Source organism: Homo sapiens, chromosome 6 (genome assembly GCF_000001405.40).
Source record: "Homo sapiens chromosome 6, GRCh38.p14 Primary Assembly".
Taxonomy (NCBI): Eukaryota; Metazoa; Chordata; class Mammalia; order Primates; family Hominidae; genus Homo; species Homo sapiens.
In genome coordinates this window covers 32,655,547-32,681,011 of record NC_000006.12, presented here as the reverse complement: position 1 = coordinate 32,681,011, position 25,465 = coordinate 32,655,547, and the positions used below count along the sequence as shown (strand labels likewise).

Below are 25,465 nucleotides of genomic sequence, written 5' to 3'. Positions count from 1 at the left end.
TTATGAGCAATGTCTACATTGTAAAGTAGAGGCAAGGAGACCAGTCAGGATGCCTTTGCAGTAATTTACCTGGGTGGAATTGTTGGTCTTTGAAAATAGAAAGTTAATCTCTTGGAAAGGTTCTACAATGTTATTGTTTTTGCCCCAAATGGCACATTACAGAAATCAATTAATTTAGTTGAATGGCAACTATATGTACATAACATGTTCCTATTACTCTTCTATATCATGTCTTGAACTTTCTCTTTAATAAATGTGACATAAAAACTTTAAAAGTTCTGTGCACGACAGGACAGTGCCAATAGAGTAAACATGGTAATCAACAGAATGAAAGAAGATGTTGACAAATAGTATATCTCATAAGAGATCAATATCCAAAATATGGTCAGGCATGGTGCCTCATACCTGTAATCCCAGCTACTTGGTAGGCTAAGGCAGGAGCATTACTTAGACCCAGGAGTTCAAGACCAGCCTAGGCAAGTAGGCAAGAAAGAAAGACACTGTCTCTTAAAAAAAATCCAGGATTTGTAAAGAAATTCTAAAACCCAACAATAAAAAAACAAGGGAGAGGCCAAGAATGTTGATTAGAAGTAGCTCTGGTCTGTGGCTCCCACTGAGGAGAATGGAAACAGCGAATGAACACTGTACCTTCTGCTGAGGTATCCAGGTTTTCTCATTGGTATTGACTAGGCAGTTGGCACAACTCACAGAGAGTGAAGAAAAGCAGAGTGGAGCAACAGCCCACCCAGGAGTCACAAGGGGTAAGGGGAACTCCCACCCCAAGCCAAGGGAGATGGTGAATGATTATGCTACCCCACCAGGGAAACCATGCTTTTTTCATGCATCTGTACAAGCTGATCTGTACTCCTGATCAGGAGATGTTCTTGTGAGCCCATGCCACCAGAGCCTTGGGTCCCAAGCACAGAACTGTGCACACTCTTAATGGCTGCTGGGATTGTGGCCAGTGGCAGCATGTTGGGGACTGATTAAAACAACTGAGTTTCTAGGGGGAGGGGTGGCTGCCGTTGCTGTGGCTCCAGTTGGCCATTTTCCCGTCCCACTGCTGGGGAGACTGAATGGTTTGGACAGGCAGGAACTCCCCACAGTGCAGCACAGCAGCTGTGGCAGATCGTGGCCAGACTGCTTCTGTAGGTGGGATCCGGATCCATCCTTCTTCGCTTGGTGGGGCCTCTCTGCAGGAATTTCAGCAACTCCAGCTAGGGGTTTATGGACAGAACTCTGCTCATAAACTGTGGAAACTGTGGCTGTCCATCCCCTAGAGGGAGGGGTGGCCACAATCTCCACAGTTCAGAAAACTTCCTCTTTCCTGCCTGTTGGCTCTGAAGAGCCTGGCAATCCAGAGGAGGGGGATTCCCCCCAGCACGGTGCACCTGCTCCACCAATGGGCAGCCAGAGTGCTTCCTTAAGCAGATCCTTGATCCCATGATCCCATGCCTCCTGACTAGGTGAGACCTTCCAACAGGGGTTGCTGGACAGTTCATACAGGACAGTTCTGACCAGCATCAGGTCAGTGCCCTGGGATGGAGCTGCCAGAGGAAGGAGCAGGCAGCCACCTTTGCTGTTCTGCAGCCTCCACTGGTGACACCTCCAGGTGCAGGAGGGACCCAGGTGAGTTGGATCTGGAGTGGACCCCCGGCAAGCCACAGCCACTCTGTAGAAGAGGGTCCTAGCTTTTAAAAGAAAAATAATCAGAAAGCAACAATGACAATAACAACAACAACAGCAAAAGACCCCACAAAACCCCCAACCAAAGGTTAGCATTTTCAAAGATTGAAGGTAGATAAACCCATGAAGATGCGAAAAAGTCAACAACAAATGCTGAAAATACAAAAATCCATAGTGTCTCTTCTCCTCCAAATGATTACAATACCTCTCCAGCAATGACACAGAACTGGGCTGAGGCTGAGATGGATGACTTGACAGAGGTAGGCTTCAGAAGGTGGGTAATAATAAACTTCACTGAGCAAAAGGAGTATGTTCCAACCCAATGCAAAGAAGCTAAGAGCCATGATAAGACATTACAGGAGCTGTTAACCAGTTAACCAGAATAACCAGTTTAGAGAGGAACATAAATAGGTTGATGGAGCTGAAAAACACAACACAAGAACTTTGCAATCCACCCACAAGTATCAGTAGCCAAATAGACCAAGCAGTAGAAAGAATCTCAGAACTTAAAGACCATCTTACCAAAATAAGACAGGCAGACAATATTACAGAAAAAAAGAATGAAAAGGAATGAACAAAACCTCCAAGAACTATGAGATTATGTAAAAGAGACTGAAGCTATGACTGATTGGGGTGCCTGAAAGAGACGGGGAAAATTACCTAAGTTGAGAAACATACTTCAGGATGTCACCAGCAAGACAGGCCAATATTCAAATTCAGGAAATTCAGAGAAACCAAGTAAGATACTCCATGAGAAGATCAACCCCAAGACACATAATCATCAGATTCTCCAAGGTCGAAATGAAGGAAAAAATGTTAAGGGTAGCCAGAGTGAAAGGCCAGGTCACCTGCAAAGGGAAGACCGTAAGAGTAACAGCAGACCTCTCAGCAGACACCCTACAAGCCAGAGGAGATTGGGGGCCAATATTCAACATTCTTAAAGAAAATAATTTCCAATCTAGAATTTCATATCTGGCCAAACTAAGCTTCATAAGCGAAGGAGAAATACAATCCTTTTCAGTCAAGCAAATGCTGAGGGAATTTGTCACCACCAGATCTACCTTGCAAGAGCTCCTGAAGGAAGCACTGGATGTGGAAAGGAAAAACCATTACCAGCCACTACAAAAACACACTAAAGTACACAGACCAATGACACTATGAAGCAACTACATAAACAAGTCTGCAAAACAACCAGCTAGCATCATGATGACAGGATCAAATTCACACATAACAATATTAACCTTAAATATAAATAGGCTAAATGCCCCAATTAAAAGACACAGAATGACAAGCTGGATAAAGAGTCAAGACTCATCAGTGTGTTGTATGCAAGAGACCCATCTCATGTGCGAAGACACGCATACATTCAAAATAAAGGAATGGAGGAAAATCTACCAAGCAAATGGACAGCAGAAAAAAAAGCAGGGGTTGCAATCCTAGTTACTGACAAAACAGACTTTAAACCAACAAAGATCATAAAAGACAAAGAAGAGCATTATATAATGGTAAAGGGTTCAATTCAACAAGAAGAGCTAACTAACCTAGATATACATCCGCCAACACAAGAGCACCCAGATTCATGAAACAAATTCTTAGAGACCTATAGAGACACTCAGATTCTCACACAATAATAGTGGGAGACTTTAACACCCCACTATCAATATTAGACAGATCATTGAGACAGGAAATTAACAAAGATATTCATAGGTGGGAATTGAACAATGAGAACACATGGACACAGGAAGGGGAACATCACACACCGGGGACTGTTGTGGGGTGGGGGAGAGAGGGGAGGGATAGCATTAGGAGATATACCTAATGCTAAATGACGAGTTAATGGGTGCAGCACACCAACATGGCACATGTATACATACATAACAAACCTGCACATTGTGCACATGTACCCTAAAACTTAAAGTATAATAATAATAAAATTAAAAAAAAAACAAAGATATTCAGGACTTGAACTCAGCACTGGATCAAGTGGACCTGAGAGATATCTACAGAACTCTCCGCCCAAAAAAACGGAATATACATTCTTCTTGGTGCCACATGGCACTTATTCTAAAATTGATCACATATTTGGAAGTAAAACACTCCTCAGCAAATGCAAAAGAACCGAAATCATAACAAACAGTCTCTCAAACCATAGTGAAATCAAATTAGAACTCAGGATTAAGAAATTCATTCAAAACCACACAACTACATGGAAATTGAACAACCTACTCCTGTATGACTCCTGGGTAAATAATGAAATTAATGCAGAAATCAGGAAGTTCTTTGAAACCAATGAGAAGAAAGAGACAATGTATCAGAATCTCTGGGATGCAGCTAAAGCAGTGTTAAGTGGGAAATTTATAGTACTAAATGCACACATCAAAAAGCTAGAAAGATTTCAAGTCGACATCGTAACATCACAACTGGAAGAACTACAGAACCAAGAACAAACAAACCCCAAAGCTAGCAGAAGACAAGAAATAACCAAAATCAGACTGGAACTGAAGAAGACAGAGACACCAAAAAACTCTTCAAAAAATCAACGAATCCAGGATCTGGTCTTTTGAAAATATTAATAATATAGACAGACTGCCAGCTAGACTAATAAAGAATAATAGAGAGAAAAATCAAATAGACACAATAAAAAATGATAAAGGGGATATCACCACTGACCCCATGGAAGTACAAACAACCATCAGAGAATACTATAAACACCTTTATGCACATAAACTAAAAAAATCTAAAAGAAATTCCTAGACACATACACCTTCCCAAGATTGAACCAGGAAGTTGAATCCCTCAATAGACGAATAACGAGTTCTGGAATTGAGGCATAATAAATAGCCTACCAACAAAAATAAAAGCCCAGGACCAGACAGATTTACAGCTGAATTCCACCAGAGGTACAAAGAAGAGCTGGTACCATTTCTTCTGAAGCTATTCCAAATAATTGAAAAGGAGGAACTCCTCCCTAACTTATTTTATGAGGCCAGCATCATCCTGATAACAAAACCTGACACAGATACAACAAAAAAAGAAAACTTCAGGCCAATATCTCTGATGGACACTAATAAAAAAAAATCCTCAATAAAATAATGGCAAGCCGAATCCACCAGCATATCAAAAAGTTTATCCACCACGATCAAGTTGGCTTCATCACCAGGATGCCAGGCTGTTTCAACATATGCAAATCAATAAACATAATTCATTAAATAAACAGAACTAAAGACAAAAACCACATGATTGTCTCAATAGACACAGGAAAGACCTTCAATAAAATTCAACATCCCTTCATGTTAAAAACTCTCAATAAACTAGGTATTGAAGGAACATACCTCATAATAATAAGAGTCACTTATGACAAGCCCACAGACAATATCATACTGAATGGGCAAAAGCCAAAAGCATTCCCCTTAAACACATGCACAAAACAACAATGCCCACTCTCACCACTCCTATTCAACATGGTATTGGAATTTCTGGCCAGGACAATCAGGCAAGAAAAAGAAATAAAGCATATTTAAATAGGAAGAGAAGAAGTCAAATTGTCTTTCTTTACAGATGACATGATCCTAGATCCTAGAAAATCCCATTGTCTCAGTCCAAAACTTCTTAAGCTCATAAGGAACTTCAGCAGTCTCAGGATGCAAAATCAATGTGCAGAAATCACAAGCATTCCTATACGCCAACAACAGACAAGCAGAGAGCCAAATCATGAATGAACTCCCATTCACAATTGCTACAAAGAGTAAATGCCTAGGAATACAGCCAACAAGGAAAGGGAAAACCCTCTTCAAAGAGATTTACAAACCACTGCTCAAGGAAATCAGAGAGGACACAAACAAATGGACAAATATCCCATGCTCATGAATACAAAAAATCAATATCATGAAAATGGCCATACTGCCCAAAGTAATTTGTGGATTCAATGCTATTCCCGTCAAACTACCACTGACATTCTTCACAGAATTAGAAGAAAACTATTTAAAAATTCACACGGAACCAAAAGCCCATTAGCCAAGACAATCATCCTAAGCAAAAAGAACAAAGTTGGAGACATCATGCTACCTGACTTCAAACTACACTACAAGGCTAAAGTAACCAAAACAGCATGGTACTGGTACGAAAACAGACCAGTGGAACAGAACACAGAACTCAGAAATAAGACCACACATCTACAACCAACTGATCTTCAAAAAACCTGATAAAAACAAGCAATGGGGAAAGGATTCCCTATTTAATAAATGGTGCTGGGAGAACTGGCTAGCCATATGCATAAAGTTGAAACTGGACCCCTTCCTTACACCTTATACAAAAATTAACTCAAGATGGATTAAAGACTTAAATGTAAAACCCAAAACTATAAAGACCCTAGAAGAAAATCTAGGCAACACCACTCAGGACATAGACATGGGCAAAGACTTCATGACAAGAACATCAAAAGCAATTGCAACAAAAGCAAATGCTGACAAATGGGATCTAATTAAACTGAAGAGCTTCTCTACAGCAAAATAAACTATTATCAGAGTGAGCAGACAACCCACAGAATGTGAGAAAAATTTTGTAACCTATCCATCTTACAAAGGTCTAATATCCAGAGTCTACAAGGAACTTAAACAAATTTGCAAGAAAAAAAGAACATTAAAAAGTGGGCAAAGGACATTAACAGACACTTCCAAAAGAAGACATTTATGTAGCACCCAAACATATGAAAAAAGCCTAACATCACTGATCATTAGAGAAATGCAAATTAAAATCACAATGAGATACCATCTCATGCCAGTCAGTATGGTGATTACTAAAAACTCAAGAAACCACAGATGCTGTCAAGGCTTCAGAGAAAAAAGAAACACTTTTATACTGTTGGCGGGAATGTAAATTAGTTCAACCATTGTGGAAGACAGTGTGGCAATTCTTCACAGACCTAGAACCAGAAATACCATTTGACCCAACTATTCTATTACTGAGTGTATTAGTTCGTTTTCATGCTGCTGATAAAGACATACCCGAGACTGGGAAGAAAAAGAGGTGTCATTGGACTTACAGTTCCACATGTCTGGGGAGGCCTCAGAATCATGGCGGGAGGCGAAAGGCACTTCTTACATGGCAGTGGCAGGAGAAAATGAGGAAGAAGCAAAAGCAGAAACCCCTGATAAACCCATCAGATCTCGTGCGACTTATCCACTATCATAAGAATAGCATGGGAAAGACTGGCTCCCATGATTCAGTTACCTCCCATTGGGTCCCTCCTACAACACGTGGGATTTCTGGGAGATATAATTCAAGTTGAGATTTGGGTGGGGACACAGACAAACCATACTGTTCTTCCCCTGGGCCACTCCAAATCTCATTTCCTCACATTTCAAAACCAATCATGCCTTCCCAACAGTTCCCCAAAGTCTTAACTCATTTCAGCATTAACCCAAAAGTCCATAGTCCAAAGTCTCATCTGAGACAAGGCAAGTCCCTTCCACCTATGAGCCTGTAAAATCAAAAGCAAGCTAGTTACTTTTTAGATACAATGGAGGTACAGGTATTGGGTAAATACAGCCATTCCAAATAGGAGAAATTGGCCAGAACAAAGGGGTTACAAGGCACACACAAGTCTGAAATCCAGCAGGGCAGTCAAATTTTTTTATTTTATTATTTTATTTATTTTTATTTTTATTTATTTATTTTTTGAGACAGAATCTCGCTCTGTCGTCCAGGCTGGAGTGCAGTGGCGCCATCTCTGCTCACTGCAAGCTCTGCCTCCTGGGTTCACGCCATTCTCCTGCCTCAGCCTTCCAAGTAGCTAGGACTGCAGGTGCCTGCCACCATGCCTGGCTAACTTTTTTGTATTTTTAGTAGAGACAGGGTTTCACTGTGTTAGCCAGGATGGTCTCAATCTCCTGACCTCGTGGTCCGCCCACCTTGGTCTTTCAAAGTGCTGGGATTACAGGCATGAGCCACCACACCCAGCTGCAGTCAATTTTAAAGCTCCAAAATGATCTCCTTTGACTCCAGGTCTCACATCTAGATCACGCCAATACAGGAGGTGTGTTCCCATGGTCTTGGGCAGCTCTGCCTCTGTGGCTGTGCAGGGTACAGCCTCTCTCCTGACTGCTTTCAAGGGCTGGCTTTGAGTGTCTGTGGCTTTTCCAGGCCCACAGTGCAAGCTGTCAGTGGATCTACCATTCTGGGGTCTGGAGGATGGTGGCCCTCTTCTCACAGCTCGACTAGGCAGTGTCTCAGTAGGGACTTTATTTGGGGGCTATGACCCCACATTTCCCTTCCACACTGCCCTATCAGAGGTTCTCCATGAGGTCCCTGTTCCTGAAGCAAACTTTTGCCCGGGCATTTGGGCGTTTCCCTACATCTCCTGAAATCTAGGTGGAGGTTTCCAAACCTCAATTCTTGACTTCTGTGCACCTGCAGGCTCAACACCACATGGAGGCTGCCAAGGCTTGGGGCTTCCACTCTCTGAAGCCACAGCCTGAGCTGTACATTGGCCTCTTTCAGCCATGGCTGGAGGAGCTGGAACACAGGGCACCAAGTCCCTAGGCTGCACACAGCAAGGGGACGCTGGGCCTGGTCCACAAAACCACTTTTTCCTCCTGGGCCTCTGGTTCCGTGATGGGAGGGGCTGCTGTGAAGGTCTCTGACATGGCCTGGAGACATTTTCCCATGGTCTTGGGGATTAATACTAGGCTCCTTGCTACTTATGCAGATTTCTGCAGCTGGCTTGAATTTTTCCTAAAAAATGGGTTTTTCTTTTCTACTGCATCACCAGACTGCAGTTTTTCTGAACTGTTATGCTCTGTTTCCCTTTTAAAACGGAATGCTTTTAACAGTACCCAAGTCACCTCTTGAATGTTTTGCTGCTTAGAAATTTCTTCTGCCAGATACTCTAAATCATCTCTCTCAAGTTCAAAGTTCCACGAATCTCTAGGGCAAGGGCAAAATGCCTCCAGTCTGTTTGCTGAAACATAGCAAGAGTCACCTTTGCTCCAGTTCCCAACAAGTTTCTTATCTCCATCTGAGACCACCTTGGCCTGGACCTTATTGTTCATATCACTATCAGCATTTTTGTCAAAGCTATTCAACAAATTTCTAGGAGGTTCCAAACTTTCCCACATTTTCCTGTCTTCTTTGGAGCCCTCCAAACTGCTCCAACCTCTGTCTGTTACCCAGTCCAAAGTTGCTTCCACATTTTTAGGTATCTTTTCAATAACACCCCACTCCTGGAACCAATTTACTATATGAGTTCGTTTTCACACTGCTGATAAAGACATACTGGAGACTGGGAAGAATAAGAGGTTTAATTGGACTTACAGTTCCACATGACTGGGGAGGCCTCAGAATCATTGTGGGAGGTGAAAGGCACTTTTTACATGGCTGCGGCAAGAGAAAATGAGGAAGAAGCAAAAGCAGAAACCCCTGATAAACCCATCAGATATTGTGAGGCTTATTCACTATTATGAGAATAGCATGGGAAAGACTGGCTCCCATGATCGAATTACCTCCCCCTGGGTCCCTCCCACAACATGTGGGAATTCTGGGAGATACAATTCAAGTTGAGATTTGGGTGGGGACACAGCCAAACCATATCATTGGGTATATACCCAAAGGAATATAAATCATTCTATTATAAAGATACATGCATGTGTATGTTTACTGAAGCATTATTCACAATACCAAAGGCATGGAACCAACCCAAATGTCCATCAGTGATAGGCTGGATAAAGAAAATATGGTTCATACACACCATGGAATACTATGCAGCCATAAAAAGGAATGAGATTATGTCTTTTGCAGGGACATGGATGGAGCTGGAAGCCATTGTCCTCAGCAAAATAATGAAGGAACAGAAAACCAAATACTGCATGTTCTCACTAATAATTGGGAGCTGAACAATGAGAACACATGGACACAGGGAGGGGAACAACACACACTGGGGCCTGTGAGGGGTAGGGGCAGGGACAGCATCAGGATAAATAGCTCATGCATGCTGGGCTTAATACCTAGGTGATGGGTTGATAGCTGCAGCAAACCGCCATGCCACACGTTTACCCATGTAACAAACCTGCATGTCCTACACATGTACGCTAGAACATAAAACAAAATAAAATAAAATAAACAATTCAATTCAAAAATGGGATTTTTTAGATTCCTCATATAAGTAAGATCATGCATTACTTGTCTTTCCATGTCTGGCTTATTTCACTTAGCTTAATGTCCTCTAGGTTCATGCATGTTGTCACAAATAACAGTGTGAAAGAAAAATAGAATCTTGGGACCCCAAACTCATTATGCCAAGGGAAAGTTAATCTTGAGGACTGAAGCACCAATACTGTCTTCCTTTTGTTCCCAAACAGATAACGGTAATTTCACAACCCCGTGTCATAACCTCGTTTCCTCTACTCCTTCCCCCTTTTCAAGTTCCCTTAATTTTATGTAAAATGTAGATTTACTGAGCATAAGATAATTTATAATTAACTTTTTCTTCTACTCTCTTTTCACAGGTAAAATGTAGATTTACTTAAGCTAATCAAAGACTCAGGAATGTAACCACTTGTATCATGGCCTACTCTTCCTCCTTTTTTTTCTCCTTCCCCTCCTGCTTGCTCTTTCTCTTTTAAATACTGAAGTTCTCAAAACCCTCTTTGGCAAAAGCATGGATCACAGATGCTCCTGTGTTTTGTGTTTTTCCCAGGTGTATTCCTCAACCTTGGCAAAATAAACCTTTAATTGATTGAGACCTACCTCAGTCACTTTTTGACTTACAACAGGATTTCCTTCTTTTTAAAGCCTGAATAGGATTTAATTGTGTATATATACCACATTTTCTTTATCTTTTCATCCACTGAATGACACAGGTTGATTCTATACCTTGACTATTGTGAATAATGCTGCAAGGAACATAGGAGTATAGGTATATTTTCAACATGCTAATTTTAAATACTTTGTCTACATCCTGCAAATGGGATTACTACATCATATGATAGTTCTATTTTTAACTTTTTGAGGAACTTCCATACTGTTTTCCATAATGGTTGTACTAATCTGCATCCCCACCAACAGTGTACAAATGTTTCCTTTTGTCTACATCCTTAACACTTGTTATCTTTTATCTTTTTGATAATAGCCATTCTGACTGATGTGAGGTGATATGTCATTGTGGTTTAAATGGAATATCTTAAGTTTTCCTATTTGATGATATAAGAGTACTCTCCCCAAAATATTACTGCTGATGTTGCTGTTTTGCATGAACCATGGCCTTGAGCTGAGTTCTTGGACACATGAGTTCTTGAGTACTTGGATATGGATTTAAGTACTCAAGAACTACATATATTTTTATGTGGCTGAACATTAGGGCCTCTCTTTACTGGTAAGAACTTACAGAAAAAGGAGACATTATAAAGATCTCACAGAGAAATATTTAAATTTTTTCTGGGAATGAAGGAGCATGGTGACTACTAATCTAGAGGCTGGGGGAAGAGCTGTCTCTGGAAATATCCCAGGCATCACTAGGGAACCAGAAGTAGAGACAGGCAGAGGTGTGTTGGAAAGAGTGACATGTGTAGGCTAGCTCTGGGAGGTTTAATCACCAGTGGTCCAACTGAGGCAATGCGTGGATGAGGAGACTGACAGGAAAAAGGAACCTGAAAAGATAGATCAGGAAACAAAGCTTCATTGTACAGCATACCCACAGCAGGCAGCTTGGGTTTTTGTCCCAGTCTTCTTCGGTCTTCAAGGGCTATTTTCATAGAGCATGAGGAGCCGTGGGACTGGTGAGGTCTGGGCTTCTGTGCCAAGATCACCCACGTTCCTCATTTGCCCTCAAATGTTCCAAATGCTTTGTATCACCTGATTTTCTACCTTCCTGCTAAAGCTTTTCCCATACTCCTACTCCTTCACGCTCCATCATCCTCCAATTCTGACATGACTTCCACCCTGGAGTTTCACCATGGCCACTTGCTTGTGGGAGGCACTGTCTGAACACAGCCCCTGAATGCTACTGATTTGGCTCTTTCTTCAGATTCTCTAGACTGAGATTTTAAAGAGATAACTTTGTGCCAAGAGAAAGGACCTAGTTTATATGTGCCATGAAAAATTCTTATATATAGCTGGTTACCTAGAAGTTGATATAAGAGAAATATGTAAGAAGCTTCACAAAGATTTTTAAAAATTTAAGGATAATTGCTTGATAAATTTTAATTAAAGGAAAACAATATTCTGGGGGCAGCATTTCTAGTTTTATTACCATTGGCATTAAGGAAGCCACAGAACCTTTCAGAATATACAGTGATTCTTGATTCCTGAAGTAAATGCAGGGTAGGGTCCTGGATGGTCCTTCTGGTGACAGAATGGCTCCTATGTTCACATTCAACTCCACTGACCAAGCACAGATTCCAAGAGATGTTGACCAGAGAAGATGATTTCTCCCTTGATTTTCACAAAGGAGTCCACAACTTTTTCTTCCAACCTGAAGGAAGAGAGGATGTCCCCTAAAGACAGTCTCCCTAATGTAATCCTGACCCTCCCTACTAATGGCAGTGACTTTTTAGCCCATTTACCCATATGGAGTAAATGCTTTAATTGCTCTGCCTCCACAGAGGCTGGGCAGGCAATTCAGGTGAGACACTCGGAATAAGGATGCTTGACCTAGTTTCTTTCTTCTCTGGCCTTTTTCTGCCTGAATGCCCTGAATAATGCAGCAGGGATAGGGCCAGGGTAGTCAACTGTAGAGAAGGCTGGGCCAGGCAGACACAACTGGCAGAAGCCCAAAGCAAAACCTTTCCAGTGAGGTTTTAGCCAATCAGAAAAAGGCTCTAAAGTGACACTTGTTGCTAGCTGAAAAGTCTGTGCAAAGAGGCCTGTGAGACTGGGGAATCCCCAGGTATGACGCAGCCTTTGCCTCAGAATAAACCTGCGGGAAGTTTTTCCCTTAGACAGGAAGGAGAGGATGGATTAGAGACCTCTATTTTGAGGCGCACTGATGTAGGGGCTGAGGAAGGACATTGAGGGCACCTTCAGGTCTCTCTGCCTATTCTTCCTTGCCCCAACTCCATTCCAGGTGTGCATTTGGTTCCTCCTTTATGCGTCCATCACAGCAGTGGAGACCCTCCTTAGACTGGGTTTACCCTGATCCTGAGTACACCACTGCTGCTGGACGCCCAGTGGCAACTTTCCCAGTCTCAGGTGCTCTAGAATTATGCACTGAATAATACAGAATATTGGAGTGGCTCAACGCTTTCATGTGCCACTATTGCAAACGTCTTGCTGTTGCCTCTTCCCTGCTTCTTTTTATCTGATAAACTTATATTCTGATTTTAGATTGTATTCTCTACTTTAAAAGCAGAACCTAACATTTTGGGAAAAGAAAGAGAGAAAGGGAGAGAAGAAGAGAAGTGGAGATATTTATTGTCTTGGTTGAGGTCAGAAGTAATGTTTGCCAGGCGTTGTTCTAATTGCTTTATAACCATTAGTATTGCCCCTAGTCACTGTCAAGAGGAGCCTGATAAGTTATGTTTATTTATAAAAACACATTGATGTAGATATGTCCATGAGGAACTGTTAAAAAAATAGAATTGAAAAAAAAACACATTGATACCTCTGCCATTTGGGATTTAATGTTTAGGGCTGGCACAGTACACTCTGTGACTCTAAACACTTTCTCCATCATTAGTACTATTCAGGACCCAGGAAATGCTTCTCCACAGGTTTTGTGCTCTCTCTTCAAAACGAAACATGACTGCATCCGAATACTGTAAAATTCTGTGTATTGTGCCTTTGCTGATATCAGATGCATCATTTCATGGTTCAGGGAGGATTTAAACAGCTGAAGAACTTAAAAAAGAAATGTCAACTTAATTAACTTTTCAAATACTTTCACTAGAAGAGCATAAATACAATATGTTCTTGCATAATGAAGAATCATTTACCAGCAGGGGTGGGTATCAATTTTTTTTTTTTGGCTTGTTTTCTTGTTCCACATATTAACCTGATAGTTACACATAACAGTTGAGGAGACTTTTGTAATATTAAACAAGACAAATTAATCTTAAATTTGTACATGTGAAGATCTAGATGTAAAATGCATGAAACATGACCCACATTTTATAAAGAGAAGCCTGGGGCAAAAATAAATTCAGTAATTTGTTGACTCTTCTAAAGCACATTAGTGGTGGAACTGCAACTTACCATTATTTCCTTCTAAGAACTTTGCTCTTCTCCCCAGGACTTAAGGCTCTTCAGCGTGTCTAAGACAACAGCAGTAAAAATTTCTGTGACAGCAATTTTCTCTCCCCTGAAATATGATCCCCACCTAATTTGCTTTATTAAAAATCCCAAGTATAATAACAACTGGTTTTTAACAATATTACAGAGATGTTTACTGTTGAATCGCATTTTTTTCTTTTGCCTCTCAAAATCCCCGAGGCATTCGTTCTTCAGCTCTTCTATAATCGAGAGGAAATTTTCACCTCAGATGTTCATCCAGTACAATTTGAAGACGTCACAGTGCCAGGCACTGGATTGAGAACCTTCACAAAAAAAATGTCTGCCCAGAGACAGATGAGGTCCTTCAGCTCCAGTGCTGATTGGTTCTTTTCCGAGGGACCATCCAATCCTGCCACTCACGGAAACATCCACAGGTTTTTATTCTTTCTGCCAGGTACATCAGATCCATCAGGTCCGAGCTGTGTTGACTACCACTGCTTTTCCCTTCGTCTCAGTTATGTCTTGGAAGAAGGCTTTGCGGATCCCCGGAGACCTTCGGGTAGCAACTGTCACCTTGATGCTGGCGATGCTGAGCTCCCTACTGGCTGAGGGCAGAGACTCTCCCGGTAAGTGCAGGGCAGCTGCTCTCCAGAGCCGCCACTCTGGGAACAGGCTCTCCTTGGGCTGGGGTATGGGGGATGGTGATCTCTATGATCTTGGACACAATCTTTCATCAACATTTCCTCTCTCTTGGGAAAGAAAGCTATGTTGCATTCCCATTTATCTTTTAGTGATGAGATGAGGACAATCCAATCCCCATCCTACAGGCTTAAGCCTGGAAGAGGAGGAGAGAGGAGAGAAAGAGGAGATAAAGTGTACATTTACTACCAGCGATAGGACAAAGTGAGCATGGGGTTATTTTTGAAGATATGAATTTCTCCAAAGACACAGCAGGATTTGTCATTTAGGCGTGCCCCAAGACTGCCTGGACTTAGGATTATGAGATCCTGCATTGGAAAATGTGAGGCAGCAATGGTGTCTGTAGTCTCTGTATTTGAGGAAAATTTGTCTCTATTCCTGACCGAGTGGAGCATTTGTGGAGGCAAAATCTTGGTGCTGAGGGAAGCTGACTGGCTGACCACAGAGAGGGAGTCTTCGGGTTTCACTGATTTATGGGCAAATGGTGACTTGAGTGGGATTCAGAGACCCGAGTTAATGGTGGACTGAATTTAGTAGGAAGGAGGATGTAAAGAAGGGAAATAACACATATTGTGAAACCACTCACTTCAGACAGAACAATACTTTATATAACTTCTCTCTCACTCCTTCTAACATCCTGTGTGTAGATATCATGATTTTCTTTTACACAATTATACTTGTGATATGGATATTCTGTTACATAACCTGCCCAAACTGGTGACTGCCACAGTTTAATTGGAATCTAGTTTATCAAATTCAAAAGCTTGTGCTCTTTCCATGAATAAATGTCTCTATCTAGGACTCAGAGGTGTAGGTCCTTTCCAACATAGAAGGGAGTGAACCTCAACGGGACTTGGGAGGGTAAATCTAGGCATGGGAAGGAAGGTATTTTACCCAGGGACCAAGAGAATACGCGTGTCAGAACGAGGCCAGGCTTAATTCCTGGACCTATCTCGTCATTCCGTTGAACTCTCAGATTTATGTGGATAACTTTATCTCTGAGGTATCCAGGAGCTTCATGAAAAATGGGATTTCATGCGAGAACGCCCTGATCCCTCTAAGTGCAGAGGTGCATGTAAAATCAGCCCGACTGCCTCTTCGCTGGGTTCACAGGCTCAGGCAGGGACAGGGCTTTCCTCCCTTTCCTGGATGTAGGAAGGCAGATTCCAGAAGCCCGCAAAGAAGGCGGGCAGAGCTGGGCAGAGCCGCCGGGAGGATCCCAGGTCTGGAGCGCCAGGCACGGGCGGGCGGGAACTGGAGGTCGCGCGGGCGGTTCCACAGCTCCAGGCCGGGTCAGGGCGGCGGCTGCGGGGGCGGCCGGGCTGGGGCCTGACTGACCGGCCGGTGATTCCCCGCAGAGGATTTCGTGTTCCAGTTTAAGGGCATGTGCTACTTCACCAACGGGACGGAGCGCGTGCGTCTTGTGACCAGATACATCTATAACCGAGAGGAGTACGCGCGCTTCGACAGCGACGTGGGGGTGTACCGCGCGGTGACGCCGCAGGGGCGGCCTGATGCCGAGTACTGGAACAGCCAGAAGGAAGTCCTGGAGGGGACCCGGGCGGAGTTGGACACGGTGTGCAGACACAACTACGAGGTGGCGTTCCGCGGGATCTTGCAGAGGAGAGGTGAGCGTCGTCGCCCCTCCGTGAGGCCCACCCTTGGCCGAGACCCCGAGTTTCTGTGCCGGGAGGGGCGATGGGGGCGAGGTCTCTGAAATCTGAGCCCAGTTCATTCCACCCCAGGGGAAAGGAGGCGGCGGCGGGGTGGTGGGGGCAGGTGCATCGGAGGGGCGGGGACCTAGGGCAGAGCAGGGGGACAAGCAGAGTTGGCCAGGCTGCCTAGTGTCCCCCCCAGCCTCCCCGTCCGTCGGCCTCGTCCTCCGCTCTGCACGTTTCTCGCCTCGTGCCTTATGTGTTTGCCTCCTCGTACCTTACCTTCGCTAAGCAGTTCTCTCTGCCCCCAGTGCCCACCCTCTTCCCCTGCCCGCCGGCCTCGCTAGCACTGCCCCACCCAGCAAGGCCCACGTGCGCAGCTTGCGCCGCAGGAAGCTTCAGGCTTGGCCTGGTGGAGTTAGGGCTGCCCCACAGCTGCGCGCAGGGCATCCAGCAATTACAGTTGCGAAATAAGATATTTTGACTTTTTGGCTTCAAATCATTATTCATCGTAATTCTGTTTTCTTAAATGGCTACCACTAATGGCGGAGATCTTTGAGGCGAGAGACTGTTTAATTATTGCATGCCTGGTACCTGACACATTGACTGGTATGTGGTGTGAGCTCAATGATCTTCTGTTAAATTCATGAATAAATGTACTCAGCTGCCAATCCAGTTAGGTTCAAGAAAAAAACAGAGGCTTACAAATGAACTTTATCAATTATTTTCTAACATTTTGCTTAATGCTTTCAAGTAAACTCTTACTGACTTGGATCTTAATAGAATTTGTGAATACAAAGTCTGAGGAAAATGTGTTTGCTAAAAATAAAAACAATGCTTGAATGATGTTGTAAGGCAGAGTTTTAATTTCTTAGAAAAGCTGAACAAATAGCACTATGCAAAGATCAGAAGTTTGGGAATAAATAGGTTGAAGCTATTAAATTATTGGATAAAAATAGTTTCAGGTTGCTTTTGGCCTAGGTTATCCCCTCCCCCCCATCACTATCCACTTCAGGAATAAACATTCTGAAAGTCAATTTTACCCATTCAGGAAGCACTTATTTCTAGACAGTTGCCTTATCAAATACCATCTATGTTATGTCATTTAATCTCACAGCTACCTGTGCATTAGAGATTAGCATCACCACTTTATATATCCTAATATTGGTACATGATAAACACTTTAAGTAATCAGCCCACAATTACTCACCAAGATCTTAAGCCTCCCAAAGTACACAACATTCTTATGTTCCTCACTACACATATGTAGAGTCTAAGGGATGTAAGGCCTTGTTAAAGCCAGTTTTGACCAGAAGCAGCAATGAGTCTATTCCTGTTTGTTCTGTGTGTTAATGCGGCATTGAAAATTCATGATTAATCAATCCCTAGTCTGACCCCGGTGTTATCTATGCAGGTTCACAAAACTTTTAGTTTGCTTTACACTCCCTTGCCTTCTTTTGACTCACATCCTAATGCCAGCAAGTACTTATATTTTTGCTATTTCAGTTTTATTTCCATAAAATTTATTTTATCATCTTTTCTCATAAATTTGTGCCCTCTATTTTTACTCCCAGTCTGTTGAAGATGAACAAATCTTATAAGGCCACATAGCTGACTCTGATTTCAGTTGGCCTCCAGGAAGGAGAACCTAAAGAAAAGTTCAAGTCCAAGCAGAAACCATGATTCCTTCCGGATGATGGCTCAAGAGTGCCATTTAATTGGGGTGCCACCTGCTGACCTCAGCAAATCCCAGTTATATGTATATGTTCACATTACAGGCTCATTAGCCCAGGCCGACCTCTGCACGGATCTCAGAATATTTTCTGTGGAGAACATACACGATAATGTCTGATTTCAGAACAAGAAAGTAATTGTCAATAGCAAGGAAATGGAGTAGGGTAGACAGCTAGTAATTAAACTCACTTGTGCGTTAAAAAGAAATTAAGGAAAAAAAGAAAATGAGAGAACATATTACTAAATAAAGAAAGCACACATTAAATATTTGCTATAGTTTCACACTAAGAGAATAAAGGAAATGTGATAAAGTGGCCTAAAAGGAAAGGATGAGATGTGTAAAAGAGGCGGGGAAAGATGTGTCATTTTTTTTACTATGAGCAGCAATCTGAGAAGATAAAGGAATTGAGTTGTGGACAAACATGATGTTTGATCAAGGGTTATTTGTTTTGAAGGCCTGCCTACTTTTTTTTCAAATATTACAAACTTTTGAAATAACATTCTACTTTTTTTTCAAATATTACAAACTTTTGAAATAACATTCTTTTTGTTTTTTGCTGTCTGTTACTAGATTGCACATTCTATAAATGCAGGGACCATAGTATGTTATTTATCTTTGAATTCTCAGTGATTGTCAAATTTATATTTGTTGAATGAACCTTAATCCAAGACTTCGACTCCAGGTATCTTTCCACTCTGGTCCAAGGAGGGATCCTTCCTCATGGTAGACGTGGTGTGTGTTCTCACATCTCACTCCTATGTCTTTTCCTGTCTGTTACTGCCCTCAGTGGAGCCCACAGTGACCATCTCCCCATCCAGGACAGAGGCCCTCAACCACCACAACCTGCTGGTCTGCTCGGTGACAGATTTCTATCCAGGCCAGATCAAAGTCCGGTGGTTTCGGAATGATCAGGAGGAGACAGCCGGCGTTGTGTCCACCCCCCTTATTAGGAATGGTGACTGGACTTTCCAGATCCTGGTGATGCTGGAAATGACTCCCCAGCGTGGAGATGTCTACACCTGCCACGTGGAGCACCCCAGCCTCCAGAGCCCCATCACCGTGGAGTGGCGTAAGGGGATATTGAGTTTCTGTTACTATGGGCCCACAAGACAAAGAGCTCCTTCTGACCCATTCCTTCCCATCTCTTATCCCTGATGTCACTACTGAGCTGGGAATCACAGGAGACTAGAGCACCTCTTGCTCCATGGCAAGTGCATCAGAAGAATCCTGGTCTCATCACCTTTCCAGATGCTAGGGAAATTACTCTACATACTGTTGCTCTGAATCCCAGTCCTGATAGCTCTGAGGGACTGATTCTTAGGGCTGGTGACTGGGATCTTAGGGTCTAAGGTTATGGATGAGTTCTTGAAGAGCAGAGATTTGCTTCCCCACTCTCTCACCTATTCACTGTATCCAAGGACCTATTGGCTGGTCTTTCCCCTCCTTAGGGGTGGTCTGAATGGAGAACTAGGTTCCTTTGATGCCTTCACCTTCTGCACCTCAGACTGGACTTCAACTCCTCAGCAGGGATGCTATGGGGTGTGGGGACAAACACAGACACTCAGTTCTGCTCTTTAGGGGCTCAGTCTGAATCTGCCCAGAGCAAGATGCTGAGTGGCGTTGGAGGCTTCGTGCTGGGGCTGATCTTCCTTGGGCTGGGCCTTATCATCCGTCAAAGGAGTCAGAAAGGTGAGGAACCCCAGGGGAAAAGGGGAAGATGGGCTGTGACCCAGACCCTCTGTTCAGAGTGGTCCTGTCTGTAGATTAGCTCTTTCCTCCTGACCCTGAGAAGAAGTGCGAGGAGACAGGACAAGATGGGAGGAGGCATTGGAATCTGATTTTACTGGTTGAAAGGTAGCGCTGTCACAGAGCTGACTGATAGAGCTTATTCCAGGGCATCCTTACCATTCATCATTGTCTCACTGGCTCCTTTCCAAAAGCTTCCTCCATTAAGAGGGTCAGAGCCTCAGCTTCCTTTCTTTCTAGTGACAATTTCCTTTGTTTTAGGGGATTTTAAATTAGGGTGCTGAAGGCCTGGAAGAACATGGGTGGGAAGAGAATGTAACTCTAAGTCATGTGTGTCATTTTCCTTTGGGGTGAGAGAGTGGCTGTTTGTGTAATGAGACCTTTCTCTGCATAACTTCCTTTTGTAAGACCTCAAGGGCCTCCACCAGCAGGTAATATTTCAGCCATGATCCAGTGTGGGGAGGCACAGGTATAAGAGGGAAGAGCATGAGCTGAGTGTACCTGACCACAGTGGTCCATGTTCATGGCCTATTTGCTGCTATGAGGATCAAGACTTAGGGGAGAAGTTTGCCAGTTTCTAGGAATCTCCAGACATTGTTCCCCAGAACCAAGCCTTAACTTTGGTGGCATCTTCTTGTGAAATGTGGAGCCAGAACCACAGCTTAAATGTTAGACACTAGGATGATGCCCACTTTGTGCCACATGATGGTGGCTACTGCCTGTAAGCATTTTCCAGTGACTGAAAGAGGCTGCTAGTGGTCGGGAAGAGATATCATCCAATTTCCTAAAAAGACTGAACCCTTCATATTCCCCAGAAGAATAACAGCTGTTCCCCACCTCCCACACATCTGCATCAAGCTGAAGTTCTGTGTCCTCATGAGCTGATTTCACCTTTGCACAGATCTTGGGGGAGGTGATGACAATACACCCTGGACCTCAACTTTCTCTGTCTGAAGCTGCAGGGGGCCCCTGAAGGGTGGGGGAGATGGCAGGCCCACCAGGATACCCTGTGCTGATCAATGCTCTTCTCTCTTCTCCAGGGCTTCTGCACTGACTCCTGAGACTATTTTAACTAGGATTGGTTATCACTCTTCTGTGATGCCTGCTTATGCCTGCCCAGAATTCCCAGCTGCCTGTGTCAGCTTGTCCCCCTGAGATCAAAGTCCTACAGTGGCTGTCACGCAGCCACCAGGTCATCTCCTTTCATCCCCACCCCAAGGCGCTGGCTGTGACTCTGCTTCCTGCACTGACCCAGAGCCTCTGCCTGTGCATGGCCAGCTGCGTCTACTCAGGTCCCAAGGGGTTTCTGTTTCTATTCTTTCCTCAGACTGCTCAAGAGAAGCACATGAAAAACATTACCTGACTTTAGAGCTTTTTTACATAATTAAACATGATCCTGAGTTATCTGTATTCTGAACTTTCTTAATTGAGAAGAGGCAGGAAATCACTGCAGAATGAAGGAACATCCCTTGAGGTGACCCAGCAAACCTGTGGCCAGAAGGAGGATTGTACCTTGAAAAGACACTGAAAGCATTTTGGGGTGTGAAGTAAGGGTGGGCAGAGGAGGTAGAAAATAATTCAATTGTCGCATCATTCATGGTTCTTTAATACTGATGCTCAGTGCATTGGCCTTAGAATATCCCAGCCTCTCTTCTGGTTTGGTGAGTGCTGTGTAAATAAGCATGGTAGAATTGTTTGGAGACATATATAGTGATCCTTGGTCACTGGTGTTTCAAACATTCTGGAAAGTCACATCGATCAAGAATATTTTTTATTTTTAAGAAAGCATAACCAGCAATAAAAATACTATTTTTGAGTCTAAATGATAGAAGCCCAAATATATTTTGTTCATGGTACAAAGGAAGCCTAGAGTCAAGTTGATTTCACAAGTTACTAGTTCCAGATATTCAACGAGATCTTCACCTCTCTTTCTGTTATGTCTCTATCTGGGCATCTGTCTCACTTTCTCTGTGTCTCTTTGTCCTTGTATAGTTCTTTCTGCGTGTCTCTCTGCATCTTTGTCTCTGTGCCCTTGTTGTCTTTCACTACATTGTTGCCTTTCTTTCTATTTTTCTAATCCATTGTCACTATTTATCTGCATTTTTTCTATCTTCATGTTTCTTTTTGCATCTATTTTTCTGTATTTGTCTTCCTTATCACTTCATATCTTACCTCATCTCTCTCTGTGTGTGTGTGTGTGTTTGTGTGTGTGTCTGTTTGTCTGTCTCTGTTATATATGTTTCTAGACTTGTCTACCAGAGTTTTGACAACTTTAGGAAACATTCTGATTGGCCAAGCCTGGGTAACATGCACACCTCTCAAACACATTGTCCTGTGCACGGGATGCTGACAGCCAGCATTGTGTCCATCGCTCTTATTAGGAAGGAGGACTGGATTTTCCAGATCCTTGTGGTCCTGGAAATGACTTCCAGTGTGCAGATGTCTACACCAGTCATGTGGAGCACTTCAGCCTCCAGAGCCTGTCCTCACAGTGGAGGGGTGTAAGGGGCAGTTTGTTTCTTGTGGAGCCCACAGGACAAATGGCAGAGCTCCCTCTGGTTCTAGGGTCCCTCACTGGGGGTACCTGTTCACAGTCATTCCACTCCTTGTCTGAGCTCCCTTTGTCATTGACGTTGTAACCTGTTGATTCCTGATGACACTCTTTTCCCGGTTATGAGGGAGGTCACTACACACTGTGGCCCCTTTGATGTGGGCCCAGCCCTGAAGCTGGTCTACATCTCAGTCTCTGAGTTTCATCATGAAGACAGAGTCTGGGAGCTTCTGCGAGGTTATGGAAGGCCATGACCCTGAAAGCAGACATCCCATCTTCCTTTCTCCCTCACCCACACACTGGGCGTGAGGAGTCTTTGGCAGGCTCTTCCTTCTTATGGATGAGGTCAGAGTGGAGAACTAGGTCTCCTTGGGACGTTCATCTCCTGTACTCCAGGCTGTCATGCAGGTCCTCAGACAGGGACACTGGCGCACAAAGAGGCACCAACACTTGAGATTCTGCTCCCCAGGGTTATGGTCTGAATTTTCCCCAAGCAGAATGCTGAATGGAGTCAAAAGTTTTGTGCTGATTTTGTCCTCTTCCTCAGGGTGGGCATTGTCATTGACCATAGGGATCAAAAGGGAGTGCCACTTTTGGGGAAATGGGGAAAGCATGTGCTGGGTTGTCCAGGGTGTCCTCAGTCTCTATGTGTAGCTGTGGGGAAAAGAAAGAGAGATCAGACTGTTACTGTGTCTATGTAGAAAGAAGTAGACATAAGAGACTCCATTTTGTTCTGTAGTAAGAAAAATTCTTCTGCCTTGAGATGCTGTTAATCTGTATCCCTATCCCCAACCCTGTGCTTGCAGAAACATATGCTGTGTCAACTCAAGGTTTAACAAAGCAGGATGTGCTTTGTTAAACAAATGCTTGAAGGCAGCATGCTTGTTAAAAGTCATCACCACTCCCTAATCTCAAGTACCCAGGGACACAAAACACTGCGGAAGTCCACAGGGACCTCTGCCTAGGAAAGCCGGATATTGTCCAAGGTTTCTCCCCATGTGATAGTCTGAAATATGGCCTCGTGGGAAGGGAAAGACCTGACTGTCCCCCAGCCTGACACCCGTAAAGGGTCTGTGCTGAGGAGGATTAGTAAAAGAGGAAGGCCTTTTTGCAGTTGAGATAAGAGGAAGGCATCTGTCTCCTGCTCGTCCCTGGGCAATGGAATGTCTCGGTTTAAAACCCGATTGTATATTCTATCTACTGAGATAGGAGAAAACTGCCTTAGGGCTGGAAATGAGACATGCTGGTGGCAATACTGCTCTTTAATGCATTGAGATGTTTATGTATGTGCACAAAAAAGCACAGCGCCTTTTTCTTTACCTCATTTATGATGCAGAGACATTTGTTCACATGTTTTCCTGCTGACTCTCTCCCCACTATTACCCTATTGTCCTGCCACATCTCCCTCTCCGAGAGGGTAGAGATAATGATCAATAAATACTGAGGGAACTCAGAGACTGGGGCCGGCGTGAGTCCTCAGTATGCTGAGCGCCGGTCCCCTGGGCCCACTTTTCTTTCTCTATACTTTGTCTCTGTGTCTCTTTCTTTTCTCAGTTTCTCATCCCACCCGACAAGAAACACCCACAGGTGTGGAGGGGCAGGCCACCCCTTCATGTGGCTTCTTGCTTTTGACCCTGCAAAGGGAAGAGGCAGGGCTGGGGATTGAACCAGACTCAAAGTTTAGGGAGACATCGAGATCTGATTTTTCTAGTTGAAGCATAAGCCCTATAATTCTTACAGTTCAACATCGTCACACTGAGCACATGCTGGAGATTCTTTATTAATGAGAGGGTCAAAATCTTCTTCTCTTTCTTCCATTGACAGTTTCATAGAAACAACTATTTTTTTGCACCCAAATTTCACTGGATAATATGATCTTTAATGGATAATTTCATTAGAATTACAAGTACATCCTGTATAAATTGTTGCGGGAAGTCAGGGACCCCAAACGGAGGGACCGGCTGAAGCCATGGCAGAAGAACGTGGATTGTGAAGATTTCATGGACATTTATTAGTTCTCCAAATTAATACTTTTATAATTTCTTATGCCAGTCTTTACTGCAATCTCTAAACATAAGTTGTGAAGATTTCATGGACACTTATCACTTTCCCAATCAATACCCTTGTGATTTCCTATGCCTGTCTTTACTTTAATCTCTTAATCCTGTCAGCTGAGGAGGATGTATGTCGCCTCAGGACCATGTGATAATTGCAATAACTGCACAAATTGTAGAGCATGTGTGTTTAAACAATATGAAATCTGGGCACCTTGAAAAAAGAACAAGATAACAGCAACGTTCAGGGAATAAGAGAGATAACCTTAAACTCTGACTGCCAGTGAGCCAGGTGGAACAGAGTCATATTTCTCTTCTTTCAAAAGCAAATGGGAGAAATATCATTGAATTCTTTTTCTCAGCATGGAACATCCCTGAGAAAGAGAATGCGCAGCTAGGGGTAGGCCTCTGAACTGGACCCCCGAGGTGTAGCCGTCTCTTATGGTCGAGGCTGCAGAGATGAAATAAACTCCAGTCTCCCGTAGTGCTCCCAGGCTTATTAGGAAGAGGAAATTCCCGCCTAATAAATTTTGATCAGACCGGTTGATCTCAAAACCCTGTCTCCTGATAAGATGTTATCAATGACAATGGTGCCTGAAACTTCATTAGCAATTTTAATTTCGCCTCAGTCCCGTGGTCCTGTGATCTCGCCCTGCCTCCACTTGCCTTGTGATATTCTATTACCCTGTTAAGTACTTGATGTCTGTCACCTACACCTATTCGCACACTCCCTCCCCTTTTGAAAATCCCTAATAAAAACTTGCTGGTTTTTGTGGCTTGTGGGGCATCACGGATCCTACCAATGTGTGATGTCTCCCCCAGATGCCCAGCTTTAAAATTTCTCTCTTTTGTACTCTGTCTCTTTATTTCTCAAGCCGACCGACTCTTAGGAAAAATAAAAAAGAACCTACTTGATTATCAGGGCAGGTTCCCCGATAATAAATAAGTTTGCTAACACAAAGAACTGAGTCTTAATCATCATATAAGTTGGAGGAAAGTGTGTAGGTGTTCTAGAGAAAAACCTACCAGTCCTGAGCATTTGTCCTTACCTTAGATAATAACAGTATATCTTTTGGAGACAGTGGTGCTTGCCAGTATTCCAAAGCTCCTGTATATTTCCGTCTTTTCTGCTGTTAAG

The 25,465-nt window shown here is 43.4% G+C and overlaps 1 protein-coding gene and 1 long non-coding RNA gene across 3 annotated transcripts, besides 2 other annotated features; one reads left to right on the top strand and one right to left on the bottom strand.

The window, feature by feature from the left end:
- The first annotated feature begins 14,354 nt into the window (after window positions 1-14,354).
- HLA-DQB1 (major histocompatibility complex, class II, DQ beta 1) lies at window positions 14,355-21,545 on the top strand. 2 transcript variants are annotated; one of them, NM_001243961.2, is made up of 6 exons: window positions 14,355-14,513; window positions 15,945-16,214; window positions 18,764-19,045; window positions 19,555-19,665; window positions 20,130-20,153; window positions 20,763-21,545. In NM_001243961.2, exons 1-6 carry the CDS (start codon window positions 14,405-14,407, stop codon window positions 20,774-20,776), a joined length of 810 nt encoding a protein of 269 aa, NP_001230890.1. In that variant the 5' UTR covers window positions 14,355-14,404; the 3' UTR covers window positions 20,777-21,545. The 2 variants fall into 2 exon arrangements, with proteins under 2 accessions (NP_001230890.1, NP_002114.3); NM_002123.5 differs by lacking the exon at window positions 20,130-20,153.
- Window positions 16,065-16,592: an enhancer, noted in NCBI's record as "H3K4me1 hESC enhancer chr6:32632197-32632724 (GRCh37/hg19 assembly coordinates)". NCBI's record gives its function as "activates a minimal SCP1, AML or CMV promoter by ChIP-STARR-seq in primed H9 embryonic stem cells {active_cell/tissue: H9 hESC(primed)}" and the evidence as "EXISTENCE:reporter gene assay evidence [ECO:0000049][PMID:30033119]".
- Window positions 20,283-21,132, bottom strand: HLA-DQB1-AS1 (HLA-DQB1 antisense RNA 1). Its single transcript, NR_133907.1, has 2 exons — window positions 20,956-21,132; window positions 20,283-20,657 (listed from the first exon to the last, which is right to left on the bottom strand). It is a non-coding gene; the product is annotated as an HLA-DQB1 antisense RNA 1 (long non-coding RNA).
- Window positions 24,495-25,183: an enhancer, noted in NCBI's record as "OCT4-NANOG hESC enhancer chr6:32623606-32624294 (GRCh37/hg19 assembly coordinates)". NCBI's record gives its function as "activates a minimal SCP1, AML or CMV promoter by ChIP-STARR-seq in naive H9 embryonic stem cells {active_cell/tissue: H9 hESC(naive)}" and the evidence as "EXISTENCE:reporter gene assay evidence [ECO:0000049][PMID:30033119]".